The sequence below is a fragment of the Homo sapiens genome, chromosome 12, assembly GCF_000001405.40.
Source record: "Homo sapiens chromosome 12, GRCh38.p14 Primary Assembly".
Lineage (NCBI taxonomy): Eukaryota > Metazoa > Chordata > Mammalia > Primates > Hominidae > Homo > Homo sapiens.
In genome coordinates this window covers 27,314,985-27,334,321 of record NC_000012.12, presented here as the reverse complement: position 1 = coordinate 27,334,321, position 19,337 = coordinate 27,314,985, and the positions used below count along the sequence as shown (strand labels likewise).

The 19,337-nt window shown below is 39.5% G+C and overlaps 2 protein-coding genes and 1 long non-coding RNA gene across 18 annotated transcripts in view, besides 2 other annotated features; 1 reads left to right on the top strand and 2 right to left on the bottom strand.

Moving 5' to 3' along the window:
* The window catches only part of BMAL2 (basic helix-loop-helix ARNT like 2), a 92,451-nt gene extending 90,965 nt beyond the window's left edge, over positions 1 to 1,486 (bottom strand). For 8 of the 16 annotated variants that reach the window (NM_001394524.1, XM_011520768.3, NM_001394525.1 and 5 more), the window contains exon 1: positions 1,186 to 1,486. In NM_001394524.1, the coding sequence (NP_001381453.1) occupies positions 1,186 to 1,249 (64 nt within the window). In that variant the 5' untranslated portion in view covers positions 1,250 to 1,486. The remainder of the gene's footprint in view (positions 1 to 1,185) is intronic. The other 8 variants (NM_020183.6, XM_047429171.1, NM_001248002.3 and 5 more) reach the window with 1 other exon arrangement.
* Positions 993 to 1,112: a silencer, noted in NCBI's record as "silent region_4311". NCBI's record gives its function as "represses an Ori minimal core promoter by ATAC-STARR-seq in GM12878 lymphoblastoid cells {active_cell/tissue: GM12878}" and the evidence as "EXISTENCE:reporter gene assay evidence [ECO:0000049][PMID:35858748]".
* Positions 1,133 to 1,602: a silencer, noted in NCBI's record as "silent region_4310". NCBI's record gives its function as "represses an Ori minimal core promoter by ATAC-STARR-seq in GM12878 lymphoblastoid cells {active_cell/tissue: GM12878}" and the evidence as "EXISTENCE:reporter gene assay evidence [ECO:0000049][PMID:35858748]".
* On the top strand, positions 1,525 to 6,559 carry LOC124902906 (uncharacterized). The gene is made up of 2 exons (XR_007063255.1): positions 1,525 to 1,700; positions 6,350 to 6,559. It is a non-coding gene; the product is annotated as an uncharacterized LOC124902906 (long non-coding RNA).
* Positions 6,560 to 8,362: 1,803 nt separating this feature from the next.
* The window catches only part of STK38L (serine/threonine kinase 38 like), an 81,674-nt gene continuing 70,699 nt past the window's right edge, over positions 8,363 to 19,337 (bottom strand). Inside the window, exons 8-14 of the mRNA NM_015000.4 lie at positions 19,205 to 19,307; positions 18,972 to 19,033; positions 16,869 to 16,986; positions 16,303 to 16,426; positions 14,899 to 14,994; positions 12,088 to 12,179; positions 8,363 to 11,994 (exon numbers count right to left, since the gene is read on the bottom strand). Coding sequence (NP_055815.1) covers positions 11,867 to 11,994; positions 12,088 to 12,179; positions 14,899 to 14,994; positions 16,303 to 16,426; positions 16,869 to 16,986; positions 18,972 to 19,033; positions 19,205 to 19,307 — 723 coding nt within the window. The 3' untranslated portion in view covers positions 8,363 to 11,866. The remainder of the gene's footprint in view (positions 11,995 to 12,087; positions 12,180 to 14,898; positions 14,995 to 16,302; positions 16,427 to 16,868; positions 16,987 to 18,971; positions 19,034 to 19,204; positions 19,308 to 19,337) is intronic.

Here is a 19,337-nt window from a genome sequence, read left to right as displayed (position 1 = left end):
GATGGGGGAACTTAGACTAAGAGATTTCAAATAACCTGGGTGACACAGACAGTAAAGGGCAGAGCTCAGTCACAAGACGGAGCAGAAAGGGTGTCAGAGCTTATAAACACCACACGTGCCATCTTCTATTTTCAACAAAGGGTTTACCTAAGACTACGAATATTCAAATGATCGAATTTCTGAAATCGCCCCATGATGTAAATTCCCACAATTATATTAGAATTTCGAAAGCCACCTCCTCTCATTGCCTTATTTCAGAGAAGAATCTAAAACTCTATCATCTTATTCCAAAAGGAAAGGGGAGAATTAACTGCTTCCCTGAACTTCTCTGCCAGTCTTCCTTCAGTTATTTCTGTTTTCCTGCCTCTCATTTGTCTTAAACAACAGCTATTTTGTATTCATTCCGTAATTGTGAGCAGTGGTCCCAAAGGCCCCGTTGTAAGGAACTACAGAATACTGCCAGTGAATACTAGCGAGAAGGAAAAAGCACCGCAAACTTCCAACTCCATTCACAAAAATACCACAGAAATACATAATCGAACAAGCTAACTCCACTGACGGCTTTCCTGAAGCTTCAGCGGTGAAAGACACGAGCCGCCTGTCGCTTATGGAGGGCTGTCGCGGAGCGGGCTGCGATCCCGGAGTGTGGCCCCGCGTCCACGCGCACCTGCCCACCTGCGCGCTCCACCGCGGGGCAGCGGTTCAAGCCGGGAAGCCGCGAGTATTATCAGCTCAGAGGGGAGGGGTTCACAGGAACCGGGCTAGGTCCGAGGCTGCTGACAACTGGTTTACACAAAAGAAAGAAGAAATATAGGAAGTCCCCGCAGCAGTGCATGCCATGCCGACGCCGACGCGGGCGCCCAGCAGTGGGTGGAGGCGGATGCTCCCAGCGCCGGGTGCAAGGTCCCCCGCTGGCTCCCTTTCGCCAATGCGCCCGGCCCGGGACCAAGACACCGCGTCCTGAGCGCCGGCGGCGACCCCAGCTCCCCTCCCCGCGTCCCGCTCCCCGGGAGGACGCGCCGGGCGCCGCGCCGCACCTGTGCCCCACGGGGCGGCCTTGTCCCACCGCCCCTCGGAGGCGATGCTCCGGCCCGAGAGGACAGGCGCGGGCGCTTCCCTCGGGGCAGCGGGGGCAGACCTGGCGTCGCGGGGACGCCCCCAGCGCGTCAGACGCCGCGCGCCCACCTGGGGCCGTCGCCTCGCCACCGGCAACCTCACCTCCCGCCGCAGCCTCCTCTTCCGCCGCCATCGCAGGAGCCACTTGGTCGGCTCCGCAGCCCCGCGGCTGGCAGCATGGAGGAGCCCCGGGCCCGCCCTGCCCCGGCCCAGGCGGCGGCTCTGGAGCAGGGAAGCGGGGACTGGCGGGCCCTGCCGGGTGCCGCGGCGGCCGCCACCGCAGCCCGTAGGCGCGCACGGGACGCCGCCCCGCAGCCCGGCCGGCAGCAGCTACTGAGCATGCGGACTGGAGCCAGCCGCCCGCCGCTCTGGGCGCCGCGGGGCTTCCCGGCGGGAAAGAGACCCGGGCCAAGGGCGGAGTCGCTGCGGACACCGCCCCGCCGAGCCCTCCCGCGAGCAGCAAAGCACTAAAAGGCCAGTTGAGTCCTTCTAGCAACCACCCTATTGAAAACAGGCTTCCATGCTCATAGTAAGCTTTGTCCCAGCATTCCGAAGATTGCAGTTGTTAGACCCTCGGGGCAAAGGTAAAGGATGAATGAAGATAATTGCACGGTGGGTTAGCGGAGGGCACGGGGCTAGGGTTGGGGAGGAGGGTGCTGGACGAGAGACCCTGCTCTTTTCTGCTTAAGGAAGGGCTTAGCTGCAGAGACGAGAGTGTAGATGACAGAGAGAGGGTCCCGAGGAAGCCGTTTTGCCTCCTGGAACGGTTGGGTAAATCCAGAAACAAGATCTTTTGGGCATCACTTGACAGCCCTACATCCTATGGCCACGTGTCTAGAATACACTGGTTTGCTGCCCTCCCACTGGTCCCTAGACCCATTCCTTGGTAATCTAGTAGAAGTAAGTAAAGGAAAGTCACAGTAGAGAAGACACCAAATCAAACTTTGCAACCAGCCTAAAGGTAATAACTTTCCTACAAGGACTCAATTCCAACGTCTTAACCAGCACCTTATGTGTCCTCAGGGCAGTACTTAGGGCCATTGTGAGAGGCTGGGCAGAGGGTTTGGAAGTGTGTTCCCAAGCAGAAGTGGGCATGACAGGAGAAAACTGTTGCAGGCTTAAGCAGGGGCTAGGACTTTAGAGGTAAGGGAGACGTGCTGAAAACTGTGCTGTCCTCAACACACACCAAGACACATCCCTAATCAAAACCAGTCTTGAAACGTCTCATTCCTAGCTTTGACTTGGAACTCCACCCCAAATTCTACCAACACCAACTTCTCCTGGCAGCTAGAAACAGTAATTCCATACAGGGTTTCCCGAATGTGATCAAACCTTGGCTTTCCAGACAAGTGTACACTATTTTGAGGTGGTTTACCAAGGGGTAACAGGTAGAATTAATTAGACCTGGGCTTTAAGATCTGGGTTAAAATGTAAATACTATTCTATACATGGCCTTGCTTACAATGCATTTTCCCCCTTATCGGCTCAGTGAGCCTCACAACCTCTTTCTTAATTCCTGTCTTAGTAGAGAAACAGAAGTTCAGAGATGTCGAGTATTTTGGCCAGGATCACTCAGCTAGTAGATAGTAGAAGCAAGACCATAAAAGTTAGGTCTCCTTCTTAGGAGTTCCTATTGTGGTGTCCAGTAAGCTTGCCTGTGAATCATTGCAGTCCCCGTTTCTTAGAAACGATGATTCACTTCCACCAAAGCCTGAAAGCAAGAGAAGGGGAATCCAGAATCTAAAATACGAAAGCAGGAAGGGTAATAATGCACAAACAAAGCCGACCTACAGCATTCCATGGGGCACAACCCTTTCATTGCTTAATAGGTATTCCCCTTACTGCTCAGGTTTAAAGCCTGCTTGCTCTCTTTTTTTCTTTATGCTCTGGAGCTTTACTTTCTAAGACATGATTTTTTTGTTTTTTAAAGAGTAGCTATATAACCCATAGGATAAGGCAGAGAGACATATAATGTCTTGCCAGATGGATAGGAAGGTAATCTCTCATTTCCAGTGAGTGGTTTTCTCATATTTTCAACTTGGAAAAAAAAATGTGAGAAAGGTGATTGGATGATTTGTATAATAGAATGCTAGAGAATTTGTGTAATAGAATGCACACAGTTCCTTCTGGTCAGCATGGTTCCCCTGCCAAAAGCCCTGGAGCTGCCTTGCTCTCCAGGAATCATTGCTTGCCTTTCACTTAATTTGTTCATTAATTTTCTTTCATTGCTAAGTACTCAGGCAAGAACAAATATTTTAAAGGTGGAACAAATACTCCTTTGTCCATCTGGAATTAGGAACCACGGCCTCACAAGCTGTAAACTCCTGTCCTTTTAGCATTCTGCTGGGATTGTAACAATATAACTTAGATTAGAGAGGAGTCCCTAAAGCCACTTAGATATTGTATTTGGTCCAAGAACAACAACAACAACAACAACAACAACAAAAAACAACAAGATAGAACCCAAACCCAAAACAACAAAAAACCACACCTGCTTCAGAGTGTAATTAAATTGAAGATACTATTTCCAATGATGCATAACAATAAATAACACAGAAGCCAGGAAGGGGAGAGAAGAGGGGGTGGAAAACAACAAGGGGAAAAGAAGGCTGAACATATATTTATTACCATTGGGAACTGTACACTTAAAATGGTAAAGATGGTAAATAAAAAAAAAACATTACATAGGCCGGGCATGGTGGCTCACGCCTGTAATCTCAGCACTTTGGGAGGCCACGGCAGGCGGATCACGAGGTCAGGATGTGCAGACCGTCCTAGCTCACACGGTGAAACCCCGTCTCTACTAAATATACAAAAAATTAGCTGGGTGTGGTGGCGGGCACCTGTAATCCCAGCTACTCGGGAGGCTGAGGCAGGAGAATTGCTTGAACCCAGGAGGGGGAGGTTGCAATGAGCTGAGATCACGCCACTGCACTCCAGCCTGGGTGACAGAGCAAGACTCCATCTCAAATAAATAAATAAATAAATAGCAACTACCCATTATTGATTTCCTAAGTGACTGGGGAAAATAAATTATTAATGTTTAAAACTACCTTTTCTTCCTACCCTGCCCCCAGCATCCTGTGGAGGGTGAATCCTGGGGAAGATGCTTGGATTTGCTGGGCAGATTGATGAGTGCAGTTTGGAGAAACAAGTAGGCCAACACTCTCCCATATGTTTAGAGAGAGAAGAGGATCTATGGTGGGCTTCTGGTATAGGAAAGATGAGCTTGAGCATGGTCTAAGGGAAGGAAAAGCAGAGAGGTAATTGGAGGACAGAGCATTCCTGAGACAGAGAGGGTGGTAAAGGAGGTGGTGCAGCTGCCTTAAGGAGAGGAAATTTGCTATCTTTTTTTAATTTTAATTTTTTTTTTACATAGAGTCTCGCTCTATCGCCCAGGCTGGAGTGTAGTGTGATTTCGGCTCACTGCAACTCTGCCTCCCTGGGTTCAAGCGATTCTCATGCCTCAGCCTCCTGAGTAGCTATGATTACTGGCATGTGCCACCACACACAGCTAAATTTTTTGTATTTTCAGTAGAGACGGGGTTTCACCATGTTGGTCAGGCTGGTCTCGAACTCATGACCTCATGTGATCTGCCTGCCTTAGCCTCCCAAAGTGCTGGGATTACAGGCGTGAGCCACTGCACCTAGCCAGGAAATTTGAGATATCTTAAAGCGGTATTTAGGGAACTTCATTGTGTAATGCAAACCCTCTTACATTATTTCCCTGGAAAATAACAACTTCAGCAAAAGCTGCATTCATTTTCTCAATGCTTTTGGAGTCGTATTTATGTTTTTATTAAAAGTGAAAACATTTTGAGATTGGCCTTAGGTGGAAAGCAGGGCCACCCACAAAAATAGTCATTTAATTAACTTGTTCACATGTATTTATTGAGCACCTGCTGTGTGCCAGGCACTGTTGTAAGCACTGACTTCTGTATTTTACCTACTGTGCATCAGTTACTTTATATATATATATTCTCACAAAAACCAATGAGCAGGTATTAGTTTCTTTTTCTGTTAGCTCAGTGGTTCCCAAAATTCAATGTACATGAGAATGTGCACAATTTTAGACCCACCCCCAGAGACTGATTTAGTAGGTTTGGGGTGAATCACACTAAGTCCTTATTTCAAATGTGCTTCCTAGCTGATTTTGAAAGTTGCTCTGAGTACTCTCATCTAGGAAATACTGCTTTAACTTATCAAAAATCAATTTTCTTAAGCTGGGTTGTTGCAGTATGGTATGTACACCGGGGAAGCAGCGGGGAGAGAAGCAGTATTTCTTAGGGACAGGAATAGCAATATACTAAAATTCTGAGCAAACTGCAAGGAAGGACAAAACTTAGGACAAGAATGAGGGAATAGTTGTGCACACATCTACTTTTATGTGGAGTTGCTTACACTTTTTCCCTTAGGGATTATGCGTTTGTATGTGTGTATAAGCATCAATAACTCAACTGATGTTTACTTTTACAGTTTTTAAACACTCTTAAAGCAGTTATGGTATCCCAAGTCTTCCTCAGTCCTCTCGGTATTATATACAATCATACAAGAGGGTTCTCCAAGTTCTGTTCCTGATTTTTTTACCCAAGAAGACAAAAAGGCTGGATGCGGTGGCTCATGCCTGCAATCCCAGCACTTTGGGAGGCCAAGCGAGCACATCACTGAGGTCAGGAGTTTGAGACCAGCCTGGCCAACATGGTGAAGCCCCGTCTCTACTAAAGATACAAAAATTAGCCAGGCACGGTGGCAGGAACCTAATCACAGCTAGTCGGGAGGCCAAGGCAGAATTGCTTAAACCTGGGAGGTGGAGGTAGCAGTGAGCCAAGACCACGCCATTGCACTCCAGCCTGGGCGACAGAGTGAGACTCCGTCTCAAAAAAAAAAAAAAAAGATATTAGGCTGAGTATTGACAGTTTACTTTTCCTACCATGAGTTTCTCCCTTTTGAAGAGACTTACAAGTCTTCCTGTGTTTAGGAGTTTGATCATGAATGTTAAGAGGTAAAGTAATTCAGATAACTTGATGGTAGTTTAGCAATCTCACCTGAGAAATGTTTAATTTTCATTAGTCAGAGATCATCTTCCCAATTTTGACAAAGCAATTGAGCTAATAGTAATTAGACCACCCCACCCTTGGCTGGATCTTGGGAGGAAATAAGTTGATCAGGGTCCCCATTTCTGATATGAGCTCTAGAGGAGATGGACCAATAGATTATCTACTCTGATGAATAGGATCTGGGAGGAATGGAAAAAGCACTAAAAAGACCAAGGCCTGTTTGTATGATGTCCATCTTCCTGTATGATGTCCAGAGACCCAATCCTGTTCTGTGAAAAATGTTAATGGACCAACCTTCAGTTCCGATGTAGGCAGCAGATCCAACACCACAATCTAGGTGCCGTGGCTTCAGGTAAGAATCATTGCAATAAACCTGTGTGGCATCATCTTGATTACCTTGTAGTTTGTCGAAAGCACCCTAATTTGGTTCTGGTATCATGTGGCCATGTTCTTTAGGTTAGTCTCATCCCAGTAGAAGGGACGTGATGCTTGATTAGTTTTAAATCAATTGCCCATCAGGTACTGGTTTAGGACTACATGGATGGCACAGTCATGGACAATAAGATGTGAGGGTTACTTTGCTTAGAATGCTTCTGGAAAAGATTTTCTTTGCTCTTAAAAAGTGGAGATGCAAGGCCGGGCATGGTGGCTCATGCCTATAATCCCAGCATTTTGGGAGGCCGAGGTGGGCAGATCACCTGGAGTCAGGAGTTTGAGACCAGCCTGGCCAACATGGTGAAACCCTGTCTCTACTAAAAAAAAAAAAATTAAAAAAAAAAAAACAAAACTAAAATTAGCTGGGCGTGATGGCGCACACCTGTAGTCCCAGCTACTTGGGAGGCTGAGGCAGGAGAATCGCTTGAACCCAGGAGGCGAAGGTTGCAGTGAGCCGAGATCGCGCCATTGCACTCCGGCCTGGGCCGCAGAGTGAGACTCTGTTGTTTTTTCTTTTAAAGAAAAAAAAAAAAAGTGGAAATGCAGAAGTATTTCTCTTTTTAAGGCCTTACCTGTTGTGTGAGGATTTGATGCTTAGAGTCTCTGTAGTCATCTAGCTTCTCTGAGAAAACAAGACCAAGGACAAAGCCAACACCCTTGTCATGACAAAGTAGAGAAATGGAAAACAGGGTCTTGCTATGGTTGCCCAGGCTGGCTTCAAGGGATCCTCCTGCCTCAGCCTCCTGAGTAGCTGGGACTACAGGTGCATGCTCTTGGATTCCTTGATGTTTGTGAGATGCTAAAATGACTACTCTGGAAGCTATCTTGTGTCTTATTGTTACATAAGATACTCGCTTTCCTTATCATTGAAGCCATTTTTACTTGTGTTTTCTGTCACTTGTGGTCAAAAGTATGCAAAGTAATAACTCTGGCCCTATCACTCCATGTATACTCCTGAGATCCTAGAAGCATATGAGTTGTCAATGAAGTTAATTTGTCAATGGAGTTCACTCTATGATTTGGAGGAGTAGGGAACACTGGACTTGGGTTCAAGGGCAACTTATTACTTGTGTTTTAGGCAAGTCACAATCACTCAGCCTCATGGTCATCTATAAAATGATGGTAATTATGTAATTACAGAGTAGTTGTAAAAAACAAGTGAAGGCATTTTGTGTACAAATATAAGTTCTTTGTATCACTAGATGTTTTTGAAAGATGAATTTAGAGTCTCCGAGTTTGCTGTAATGCCCAAATTTTAACATTCAGTGTTTTCAATGTTGTGTCTGACAGTGGCATTATTGAAATGATGTATGTCAGGGAACAGCTGGAGAACAATGAGGCTGAATGGGATTCCCACGGGCTTCCTCAAGGCTCAGTGGAAAAAGTCATGATGATTGTCAGTGTCTTCCACAGCACGGGAGGTAGTGGTACCTGGGCCACATATTCCTATGCTATTTTGAGGCATTTTCAATTTAGTGCTTGCTAATTGGTTTTGACCAAGTTGGATAGTTGTATATAAGCTATGCATCCAATAAGTACCTGAAAGTACAGCACAGTTCGTGTAGCCTATATGTTTTTAGCTACAGATTTGAATGGAGATTTTAAATACAAACTTCAAATATTTTGTTCTTGATGTGATCTTCAAGTGTAAAAGTTAGACAGTAATTTACATTAACTAAATAGTCTTTCTTGAGTTTTGGGTAACACCTATCTCAAAACTCAAAAATAAAACCAAAAAACTTCATCAACAGAAATTTTGTAAACATAGTTTTTATTCTTATCTTACCTTCAATGAAATTTTGTCCTCATGCCACCAAAACATTTTTGAAACTCAGTAACTGAACACCAAACTCAGTAGCCTCATGATTACTTTTCTAGACAATTGCTGAATTATATTGCTTTAAAAAAATAGCTGAGATATATTTTTATTACTTTATTCCTTTTTAAAGCAGCAATATCCCCTCACATTTTTTTCATAAAAATCTAAAATATCTCTAGTAGTCCCAAGTGTCTCATATTTATATTTGTTCTAAGCGTTTGTTTCATTAAGATTTTTCAGAAATAAGTGCACTTCTAAAGAGAAAGTAAATTTAAATAAACACAACAGGAAAATAATCATGGGTTGTAGCAAAACAGTTATTTTGAATGTTCTGAATTTTAACAATTCAAAGGAGAATGTGTTTGGTAGCCAGGGACCTCTATGGACTAAATTCTCAATTCATTTATTTGTAGATCAGCAAAAGACAGATAGCTGCTGCTCCTGTCAGTAAAGACTGACTGATTGATTGTCTAAGGTTTTATACAATAAAACACCAAAAATAAATGTACTTAAAATATTTTAAATTTAGAGATTTACATAAAAATATGCAGGTGTTTAAAAAACAGAAAAAGTATAGAAATAAATGAAACCCTATCTTAGGCCTTACCAACCAAAGAACATTTTTAATACTCCACACTTATTTTCCATTCACTAACTAGCTTATTAAATCAGCTACATATTGTATTCAGAAGTGGCTGGTTTATAAGCAATTCCTTATTTTCAGACAGCACAATGCTTCAATACATTTAAAGATTTAAAGCTATGTTAGTAATAAATGCATAAAAGAAAAATAACATAACTTGCTTTAATACAAAGGTTTTTAATAAAAAAGTCAAAGTCTACATTAAATCAGGAAATTGATAAATCTGAATTATACAAGCTTTCTATATACTTAGAAAAACCAAAAACACACGGTTTATAATAAAACTCTTTTAATTCAAAATAGAGTCTAATTTAAAGAAAATGTCATTATGCCCAGTTGACTAGATAGGGTTTTGTCATTTAAATTAAATTATTCACCTGAAATATGGGAAATATATAATAGAGAAAATTCAATCTCAAGGGTACTTTGCAAATTATCTAGTTAATTTGCATCATGAATCAAATTCTTAGCTTCTAAAGGGCAGACACAGTCTTTAATTGCTTTTAGATAGGCACTTAAGAAATGCTTTTGATGAGGAGAAAACCCCAAAGATTGTGAATCACTCTATTAACTCCAGGGAAGAATGAGACTCTCAACAAAGTAGCTTTCCAGAACTACCCTTCCAGTGCCAAGAAAGTAAAACTATTTGCAAGCTCTTTCTGGTAATAAGAATGAGGGAACTCAAAACAAAAAATGCTCTATTATGCAATTAAAAAGTAAACTTAGGTAAATCAGTTTCTTTTTATCAATCTCTGTCAATTTGAATTAACGGTATTTTTCAATACCATTTCAAGAATAGTTACCATACTAGAACTAGACAATGTTGCAATTATCTCATATCTTACCTATTCATTATCACACTAGCAAAACAGTCCTTTTTAAAAAAAGGGGAGCGATGTGGGGTGAGAAAATCTCATAAACCTCAGCAAAAGTTAATATTATGTTAATTAAAGGCAGTTATAATTAGAAAAATTAGAGTTAGTCACATTGAGAAATCCCCAGTTTTTAATAGCTCTCTTTCCTAAATACTCAAAAAATCCAGACTAGAAAAATGGAAGTGAACTGTTAGATAAACACGTAAGTACTCAACAAATATTTAAAAAGAAACAAACCAAAAATGGGGGAGTTGGGGGAAACAGGATGGCCTTATGAAACACTGTGGAGCTACCCAGCAGCAACATTTATAAAAGCTTGTGTAGATTTGCATAATGCTCCTATGCAATTCTTCCCCATTAGGAAGACATTCCTACAAATAATTCATCACTTTAGATTTTGATCATAGATCATTTATAATGGTTATCATGGTTGTATCTTTAAAAAATTTCATCCATTAACAGTTATGACAAACATTAGGCCATTCTTTGCTAGTATATTATTCCTCAACTATTACTAATGAAACCAAAACCTCAGAGTTGTTTGAATTAGAATTAAAATATTAAGCTAGAAAAGATTATTTAATTCTTAGAGAGATACCCAAAGAATTTGATGCTGATATTATCTCCCCTATCCTCTCATCACAACCCCCTGGCCTGCATTTACTTCCTTAATTCCATCTATATTCACCACAGTGATGTAGCTAAACAAGAACAATATTGCCCTTTAATAAGCTGACCTCTATCAAAGATCTGTCAGGTCTGAATACAGCATGCCCACAGGAAAGGAAAATTCTACTCAGTTGTGAACATCCACTCTGTTCAAGATCTTTGGTACATTTGGAGCATAAGAAAATAATGGCACAATAATACAAGTACTATCAAAGGAAAAATTTTCATCAAAAGAAATAAAAGTTAACCAGCCATGATATGTAACAACTTTCTAGAAAACCAAAGTAAATAGCTTTTTGTTCTCTATAAGTCCATTTACATGATAGAAGTTTGACATTTAAAAAAATAGTTTAATAAAAATACACTAATTCTACAAGCAGCCTTCATGGTCATGTCTTAAATTCAACTCACCATAATCAAATTAAAATAATGCCATGTCCTCTTGTTAAAAAAAGAAGTTCTCTTGTCACAAGAAAATCAACTTTACATGTTATATAATACAGTACATCTCCCTATGAGTATACAGACTACGTATATGAAGGTCATCAGTATTTCTGAATGCAACGTAAATATATTAGTGGAGTGCTTGAGTGAAGGTGTTAAACTTTGTCTTCCTTATTATAAACTTGTCACTCCTTACTGTGAAGTTTGTGTAATAACTTGATGATAAATTCTATTTTGTAAAGAACCAGTGAATTTCTTTTTAAATCTCTTAAAACCATTACAGAAATTGTCTTCATATATATTCTACAGATGTCCAAACCAATAGGGCAATGTTCTAACACCAACTATGGAAGATGGCTTTTACTGATTATCTAGACCCATAAGATTTGCAGTAAAACATCAATACTGCAGTGTTACCTACAGGTTAGCCTATGTTGCTTTAAATGATATGTGTTTCTCCTGAATTGATTAGAGGTGTTACAGTTCAAAGCCACAGCACACACAGGCAGAATGGACCTTAATACGCATGTAGGCAGTGCAGTTAGAAAGGGATGTCTGTTCCTTTTATTCCAGTACCTTCATATAATAAAGTTAACAAAAATAATAAAATATTAAAAAAAAGAGCCAGCTGGCACTGCCAACCAATTCCTATAGTAGTCTTAGAAATCCTAATCCTGTAGAATTTCCTCTTGTAGTCAATAAGCACCACCATCTTCAGGAGTATTTCAGTGTATTGTTATCTACGCCAAGCAAGCCTGGTGATGCAGCTACCTGAGTTCTCTTGGTTATGGGTGAATGTTATCTTCATTCATAACTTCCCAGCTTTCATGTAGGTGGGGATAGAGCCACGTTGAGTCAACCCTTCAAACCTTTTATAGGTATAATTGAGAAAAACCCAGTCTTTGGATTTGTAGTCCGGTTCTGTGGTATTTGGCACTAGAAAGAGAAAAAATAAAGGAATTTCATTAGTGAAATGCCATCATCTTCAAAGACTTTTAATAGGGTTAGTTACATTACAGATTGTCTTACCTGGTTGTAAAATATCAGATTCAGGGAAGTCATCAAAATTTGAAGTATCATCAATGCTTTTGATTTCTATAGGGATTGCTGCTGGCCTTTCCCTATAAAAAGGTATTAAGTATGCATGGTAACTTTTCTTGAACTCTCAATTTCCAACAAATAATTCTACTTGTAAATTCTGCATACTATTCTACAGATACTAGAAAATCCAAGGAAATTTATTGTGGATTTGAGATTAGTTAAAGGGAGTTCAAAATAGTTGAGTATAATTTTTTATTAAAATGTTTTCATTTACTTAGAATTTTAAATATTTTTTTAATTTTTGGGGTTATGTGGTAGGTATATATATTTATAGGGTCCATGAGAGGTTTTAATACTGGCATGAAATGGGTAATAAGCACATCGTGCAGAATGGGGTGTCCATTCCCTCAAGCATTTATCCTTTGAGTTACAATCCAATTACATTCTAAGTTATTTTAAAATGTACAATTATTATTGACTATAGTCACCCTCTTGTGCTATCAAGTAATAGGTCTTATTCATTCTATTTTTTTTGTATCCATTAAGCATCTCCACCTACTTGCCATTTTTATATCTCTGTACCCAAGGCTTTCTCATCCTATTTTTTTAAGTGGAAAAATGAGCTAATGAAAAGTAAAAGAAGAGGTTTTATTTAAAAGATTGTATAATTGTATAAAGTATTTGAGATATTATGAGGACAGGATCCTTCTTAATTGATTTAGGAATAGAATTCTACTAGTAGACAATCCATAAATTAAAAGTCATTTGGGAAAATAAGGGGCACATAGGTGAAGGGACTATATATTTGTGATGAAATCTGCATGCAAAAACTTCTGTCATACAAATTTTAAGAGAATCAAAGATACTCAGTTAAAAAGAAACCAGTCATGAAAATGCCTTCTTATCATGCTAAAAAGTTTAGCTATACAAATGGTTAAAAGAAGCTATCAGTTTTTATTGCTTCTGTTTTTTCAACAAATATTTATTGGATTTATTAGGTGCTAAGTTTACCAAATTATTTAAAACCATATATATTTTTTACCAGAATTATTCCAACTCATTTATACTTAGTATACTACTTTAATAAACCTAGTTTAGAGGAAAGAACCCTGGAGGCCTGAGAGCTAACCTTCCTTGTTATTAACTAGCAGTATGACCTTAGGCAGCCAAATCCCTGCTCCATGACTGTTCCCTCATTATAAAACCAAAAGAACTGGCAGTCTCTAAGCATCCTTCCCACTGTAAAAGGGAGGGTATTCTAGTTCTATTCAATTAAGTTATGTGTGTATAGTATTATACAGCATAGTGGTTAAGAGTTAGGCCTCCACCAGGAGAATGGCGTGAACCCGGGAGGTGGAGCTTGCAGTGAGCCGAGATCACGCCACTGCACTCCAGCCTGGGCGACAGAGTGAGACTCCATCTCAAAAAAAAAAAAAAAAAAATTACTAGCTGCAGCACTATAGTCACATTACTTAACTTCTCTGTGCCTTAGTTTCCTCACTTGTAAGACAGGGATAATAACAGTTCCTATTTTATAGAGCTTATATGAGGATAAGATGAGAAACGCAAGTAAAGTACTTAAAACAGTGCTGGACACAATAAATGATTTTTAAAAATTAGCTATTATTACAACAGGCAGAGTGGGCTAGGCGCCTGTAATCCCAGCACTTTGGGAGGCCGAGGCAGGTGGATCGCTTGAGCTCAGGAGTTCAAGACCAGCCTGGGCAATTGGGCAACATGGTGAAACCCCATCTCTACAAAAAAAAAAAAAAAAAAAAAATCAACAAAATTAGCTGGGTGTGGTGGCACATGCCTATAGTTCCAGCTACTTGCGGGGATGAGGTGGGGGGATCATTTGAGGCCTGGAGGTCGAGGCTGCGGTGAGCCATGATCATGCCACAGCACTCCAGCCTGGGCGACAGAGTGAGACCCTGTCTCAAAAAAATAAGTAATAATAATAGGCAGAGTGCCTAGCACACAGCAGGTTCACCAGTGAAGAGCTGTACCAAGGAAATGACACATAAGCTATCTTGGAAGATGCAAAGGAGCCAGCTAGGCAGGGTAGGGGTAGAGGCAGCAGGGAGAGGGCATTTCAGTCAGGATGGATAGCAAATAGCAAAACTTAGAGGTGGGAAGAGGAGTAGGAGAGGCCATCCAAGACGCAACTCCTGCAGATGAGGCAATCGCCATATCCTGCAGTCCTAAGAAAGCAGTGAAGGCTTCTTAACTGTATTCCAAGTGCAAAAGGCCACAGGAAAGTGGCATGGCCAGATTTATGCTTCTAAACTGTTGCTGTGTGGAGAACAGATCAGAACTACCAATGGTAGTTTGGCCATAAACTGAAAAAAGCCAATGCTCACAATTAACAACTGTAAGCAAATTCTTAAAAGTTACTTGTATTATTTAATGCCCAACCACCGTTTAAAGAGGGACTGTACCTTATTATAAATTAATTAAGGAGACAGTATGTGGTATATTACAGCAAGGACAAAAATGAGGGGTCACTGTGTGAAATGTAAATACATGTTTCATGTGCTAACAGCCTTCACTGTGAATATGAATATAAGAATTTAAACAGCTTCCCAATGTTCTTCCCTGAAAGTGGATGTTAGCCTAAAATGAGTCATCAAGCTGTAGCCACAATAGTCCCACTCACTTACATAATCCAGAAAACACTGCACTTAATGACATTATATGTTACTTTTGTATTTAATCTAGCAGAATCAGAGGTAAATTAATTGCCAACTCTAGAAATTTGTTTTTACTCAGACCTTTCCCATTCAAAGCCTAGGAACATACCTTATGTGCTCCCAGTCGACACCTTCAAAAAAGGGATGACCTTTTATTTCTTCTACTCCACTATTTCCAATTCTGTTTTCAGAATCAATACAAAATCTACAACATGGAAACAGAGAAATTATCATACACAAGTTACATCTAAAGTATTCTAGCTGCATTACTTCAAATATTTCTTTTTTAAAGAAATATAATGTTTTTCTTTTATTGATGTTAACTATGTTTATTGTAGGAAATGTGGAAGAAAATAAAAATCATCTGTAAGCGCACTGTTTAGAGATAACTACTGTAAATATGCTAATCTTTTACAATATTAAAAATACTGTGTTGCTACCATAGTTACTATGTTAGGTCTGCTTTTTTTCACTTGATATACTGAGAAAATTTGCCAAAGTCATTAAATATTTTTCAATAAATTTTTTTTTCGTTTGTTTGTGAGACGGAGTCTCGCTCTGTCACACAGGCTGGAGTGCAGTGGCGTGATCTCAGCTCACTGCAAGCTCCACCTCCCGGGTTCATGTCATTCTCCTGCCTCAGCCTCCCAAGTAGCTGGGACTACAGGCGCCCGCCACCTCGCCCGGCTAATTTTTTGTATTTTTAGTAGAGACGGGGTTTCACCATGTTAGCCAGGATGGTTTTGATTTCCTGACCTTGTGATCTGCCCAACTCGGCCTCCCAGAGTGTTGGGATTCCAGGCATGAGCTGCTGTGCCCAGCCAATAAATTTGTTTTCTAAAATTTACATATAGAGGTATTATAGACAGTCTACTATTGAGCCAGTCCACTACTGTTGAACATTTAAATAGTTTTCAATTTTCACTATTAAATACCATGAAAATCATAGTGTACCTAAATCTTTATACGTATCTGATTATCTGCATAAGCGAAATCCCTAGAAGTAGAACTTCTGGGTCAAAGGTCATACATAGTTTAGGGATTTTAAAAAAATAATATGCTGCCAACTGGCTATTCCCACAAGTTGTCCCAATTTATATTCCTTCCAGCCATTCACAGCAGTACCAAAACACTTCATATTAGTTGAGGAACACATGGAATTTTTTGCTTAGAAGATTTTACATATATACTTTTCATGACAGGAATCTGCTATTAACATTTTCCTTTTTCTCTTTAATGGAATCAGGTCATTGCATTCTAACAGAAGTGACCTTTTGCTTTTATATATATCAGTAACAGAAGCAATACAAGACTTCCTCCCTCTTTTTAATTCCTACGTTTTTTTCTGCATACTTCCTTTTAAGAGTTTACATTTTTAAAAACACCTTTATTGATCTCTTTGACTGTATACATCAGTGGTATCCCCTCTTCCCCCACAAAAGTGAAATGAGTCTTTTAGGTTCTTAGGAAGTTTTAAGACACTATGAACTCCTCTAGGAATTTAACCACTAACCTGAGAATTAAGTCCTTGGCTTTCTCAGATATAGGTACCTCTGGAGGAAATACCAGAGTTTCTTTCCAGTTCATCACTTTTCTGTACGTTTCTTGAGGTGTTTCAGAGCAGAAAGGTGGATATCCTATGTATCAAATAAATCAAAAATGTTTCATCAGCTTTGTGAGCAGTGAAGTTTATACCCACCAAACATGTGCGACAAGAAACCAAACAACCCTGAGTGCTCTATTTAACAGTCAAAAATGCCACCATTCATCAATTTACAATCACGTTGCTAATAAAGTCAATAAAATAAAGGATTGAAAGCACTGCCTCCCCTTTTACCTGAAAAGCTATGTAGATAACCACTTTTATACGTGGGAGTTTGGGTTAAATACCCACCTTCCTGAAACAGGATCCGTGGGGAGCTCACTGGTATTGATCAGTATGTATTTAACATTGGGGGAACATCAGAATTAAGCTTAAAAGACTTCAAATATTTTAGTCAATGATATCTGTAATATGTTCAAACAATGGCACTCAAGGAAATGTATATATTTTGTACATAAATGAATGATAAAACATACCTATTAGCATTTCATACATAATCACTCCCAAAGACCACCAGTCACACAATTTGTTGTAACCAGTCTGCATGAATACTTCTGGAGCAATGTAATCTGGTGTCCCAACTGTGGAATATGCCTACAAAGGAGCAACTCGTCAAACCAGCATTCTTAACATTTAAAAAATATCTATCTGAGGATGGCTTACTACTGGAAAAAGCAATATATAGAGGAGTTAAATTTTCACTTGTATTTATTTTGCATGTTTATCATGTGCAAGGCTTAGTGGTAGGTAGTGAGTCAGATAATATGTTATAGACTACTATTTTTCAGTCTATTTACTTTCCTGAGGGAATGCTGAATTAGTTTTCCTTTCATCACTTAGTTGAACAAATATTTATAGAGTGTCCATATGTGCCAGGCATTTTATAAGAATATATCATTTCTGCCCCCACAAGAAGCTCAGTTAAGTTATTTATATATATAGCCTTCAGTCTATTTCAAAAAGAATGAAAAAGTTGAACCTAGAAGACCTGGCTTCCCCACTCACTACTAATGTGTTCTTGGGCAAATTATTCAATTTCTCTGAGGCTCAGCTTCTGCTTACATAAAACTAGAATAATAATACCTGCCCTAATAGAGTTGATATGAAGATGAAACAATAAACGGCATGTGTTTTGTAAACTACAAACTACAAAAATAAGCATGAGGTATTTTCATTATAAATGTAATTCCAGGGTACTGCTTATCCTTTAGGAAGCTATGCAGTTTTTAATTCTTAATTCATATAAAATCTTACAAAAATGATTTCTACAAGGCAGTAATTCTCAACCAGGGGTAGTACTCTTGGGGCCATGGCAAAATGTAGGACCACAGATTTTGTCATCTCAGTGACATAACTGGCATTTACAGGGCAGGGGATCCAGGTGCTAAAGAAATTTCCTGCCCCAAACACTGAGTCCTCTCTACTTCTCCCTTGGGAAACACTCGATCTAAGGCTTGGCAACTACTGGCCATGAGAATAATAAAACACACACCTGAGTAATCACCCATGAATATTTTGTAAATAGGGGGGTACAGAATTCCCCCACCATAATTTTGAGCAGTATTCAGTTTTTCCCCTTTAAAAATAGGGAATATTGCAATTATTCTCAATTGCAAAACCTGATCTAAAATGGACACATTTTAAAAGTAGAACAAAGTTTTTCTCCTTAATGTGTAACTCAATACATTTAAAAATACTGAAATGTTTTACAAGTTTTTGCAGTTACTTAGGTTAATGAGATAATAAGCTCAATAATGCAAAGGTCATTTTATTTGGTTTTAGAGGGTATTAGCCTATTATTTTTCAGTCTGTTTACTTTCCTGAGGGAATGCTGAATTAGTTTTCCTTTCATCATTTGGTTGAACAAGTATTTATAGAGTGTCCGTATGTGCCAGGCATTTTATAAGAAATGAGAAAAAGAAAATCCTAAGGCACATTCTTAACCTGTAGACTGTTGATGGACCATGTTAACAGGACAAAGGGAAAGAGGAGAAAGGGGAAGCAATTCTTCTATTTGCTCAGTTATAGAAAGGAAATAGTATGGGGTTAAAAATAATGTAATTCTATATTAAAGGAGTAATTAAATTTATCTGTGGCAAAGCCAGCTTTTTCAAATTTTATCTGTTTTATTGTAACACTGTTTACATCCCAAACTTCCTGTTTACTTTGTCTATAAAGAAGTTTTTAGAAACTCACAACCACCTTACTTGCTGATTGATATTTGTTGTATCAGGATTTGTAACACAGTTATGAAAAATGGAAAAATGGAAATCACAAGGCATTCATTACAATTGCATTCACCTCAGTGAGTTTTATTTAAAGTGCTAATTACTAGTAAACAGCTTACTTGTAGGTATGCTCAGTAAACTACTCTAAAGTTACAAAGTAAAAACCAACACTTTGCTTTACAGGCAAGGAAACTTAACAGAGAAACTAAGAAAACTGTGTGATCCCAGAGCAAGCGCTACCATTGTTATGAAGTAAATACTAATTATTATAAAGATAAAAATAATCAAGTTAAAACCAGGTAAGATTTTAGAACCAAGGCATAAAATTCTCTTAAAAACTGGTTGACTCACCAGTTGTCTCCTGTTCTTCTTCCAAGTTTCTGCTTTCCTCTTTGAGTTCATGTTCTGAAATGCTAATTTCAACAATATGGAATTGTAATCACGAGGGAAAAATGCTCTCCACAAAAAGAAAATACATATACATCTAAAACACAGTGGATTAAGGAGTGGGGAAAGGGAAAGAACCTTCTGTTCTCTACAGTATCTTAACCAGGGGAAAGAAGAAAAACAACAACCAAACTTACAGAAGTCACTTGGTGGGTTGTGTGTGAGATTTCTATAAAATTCAGTCCTGTGAGCTTTCTTTAATCCCGTACATAAACCAAAATCAGATAATTTTACATGACCCTAAAAAAAAATCCAGTAAAATTAGATCAT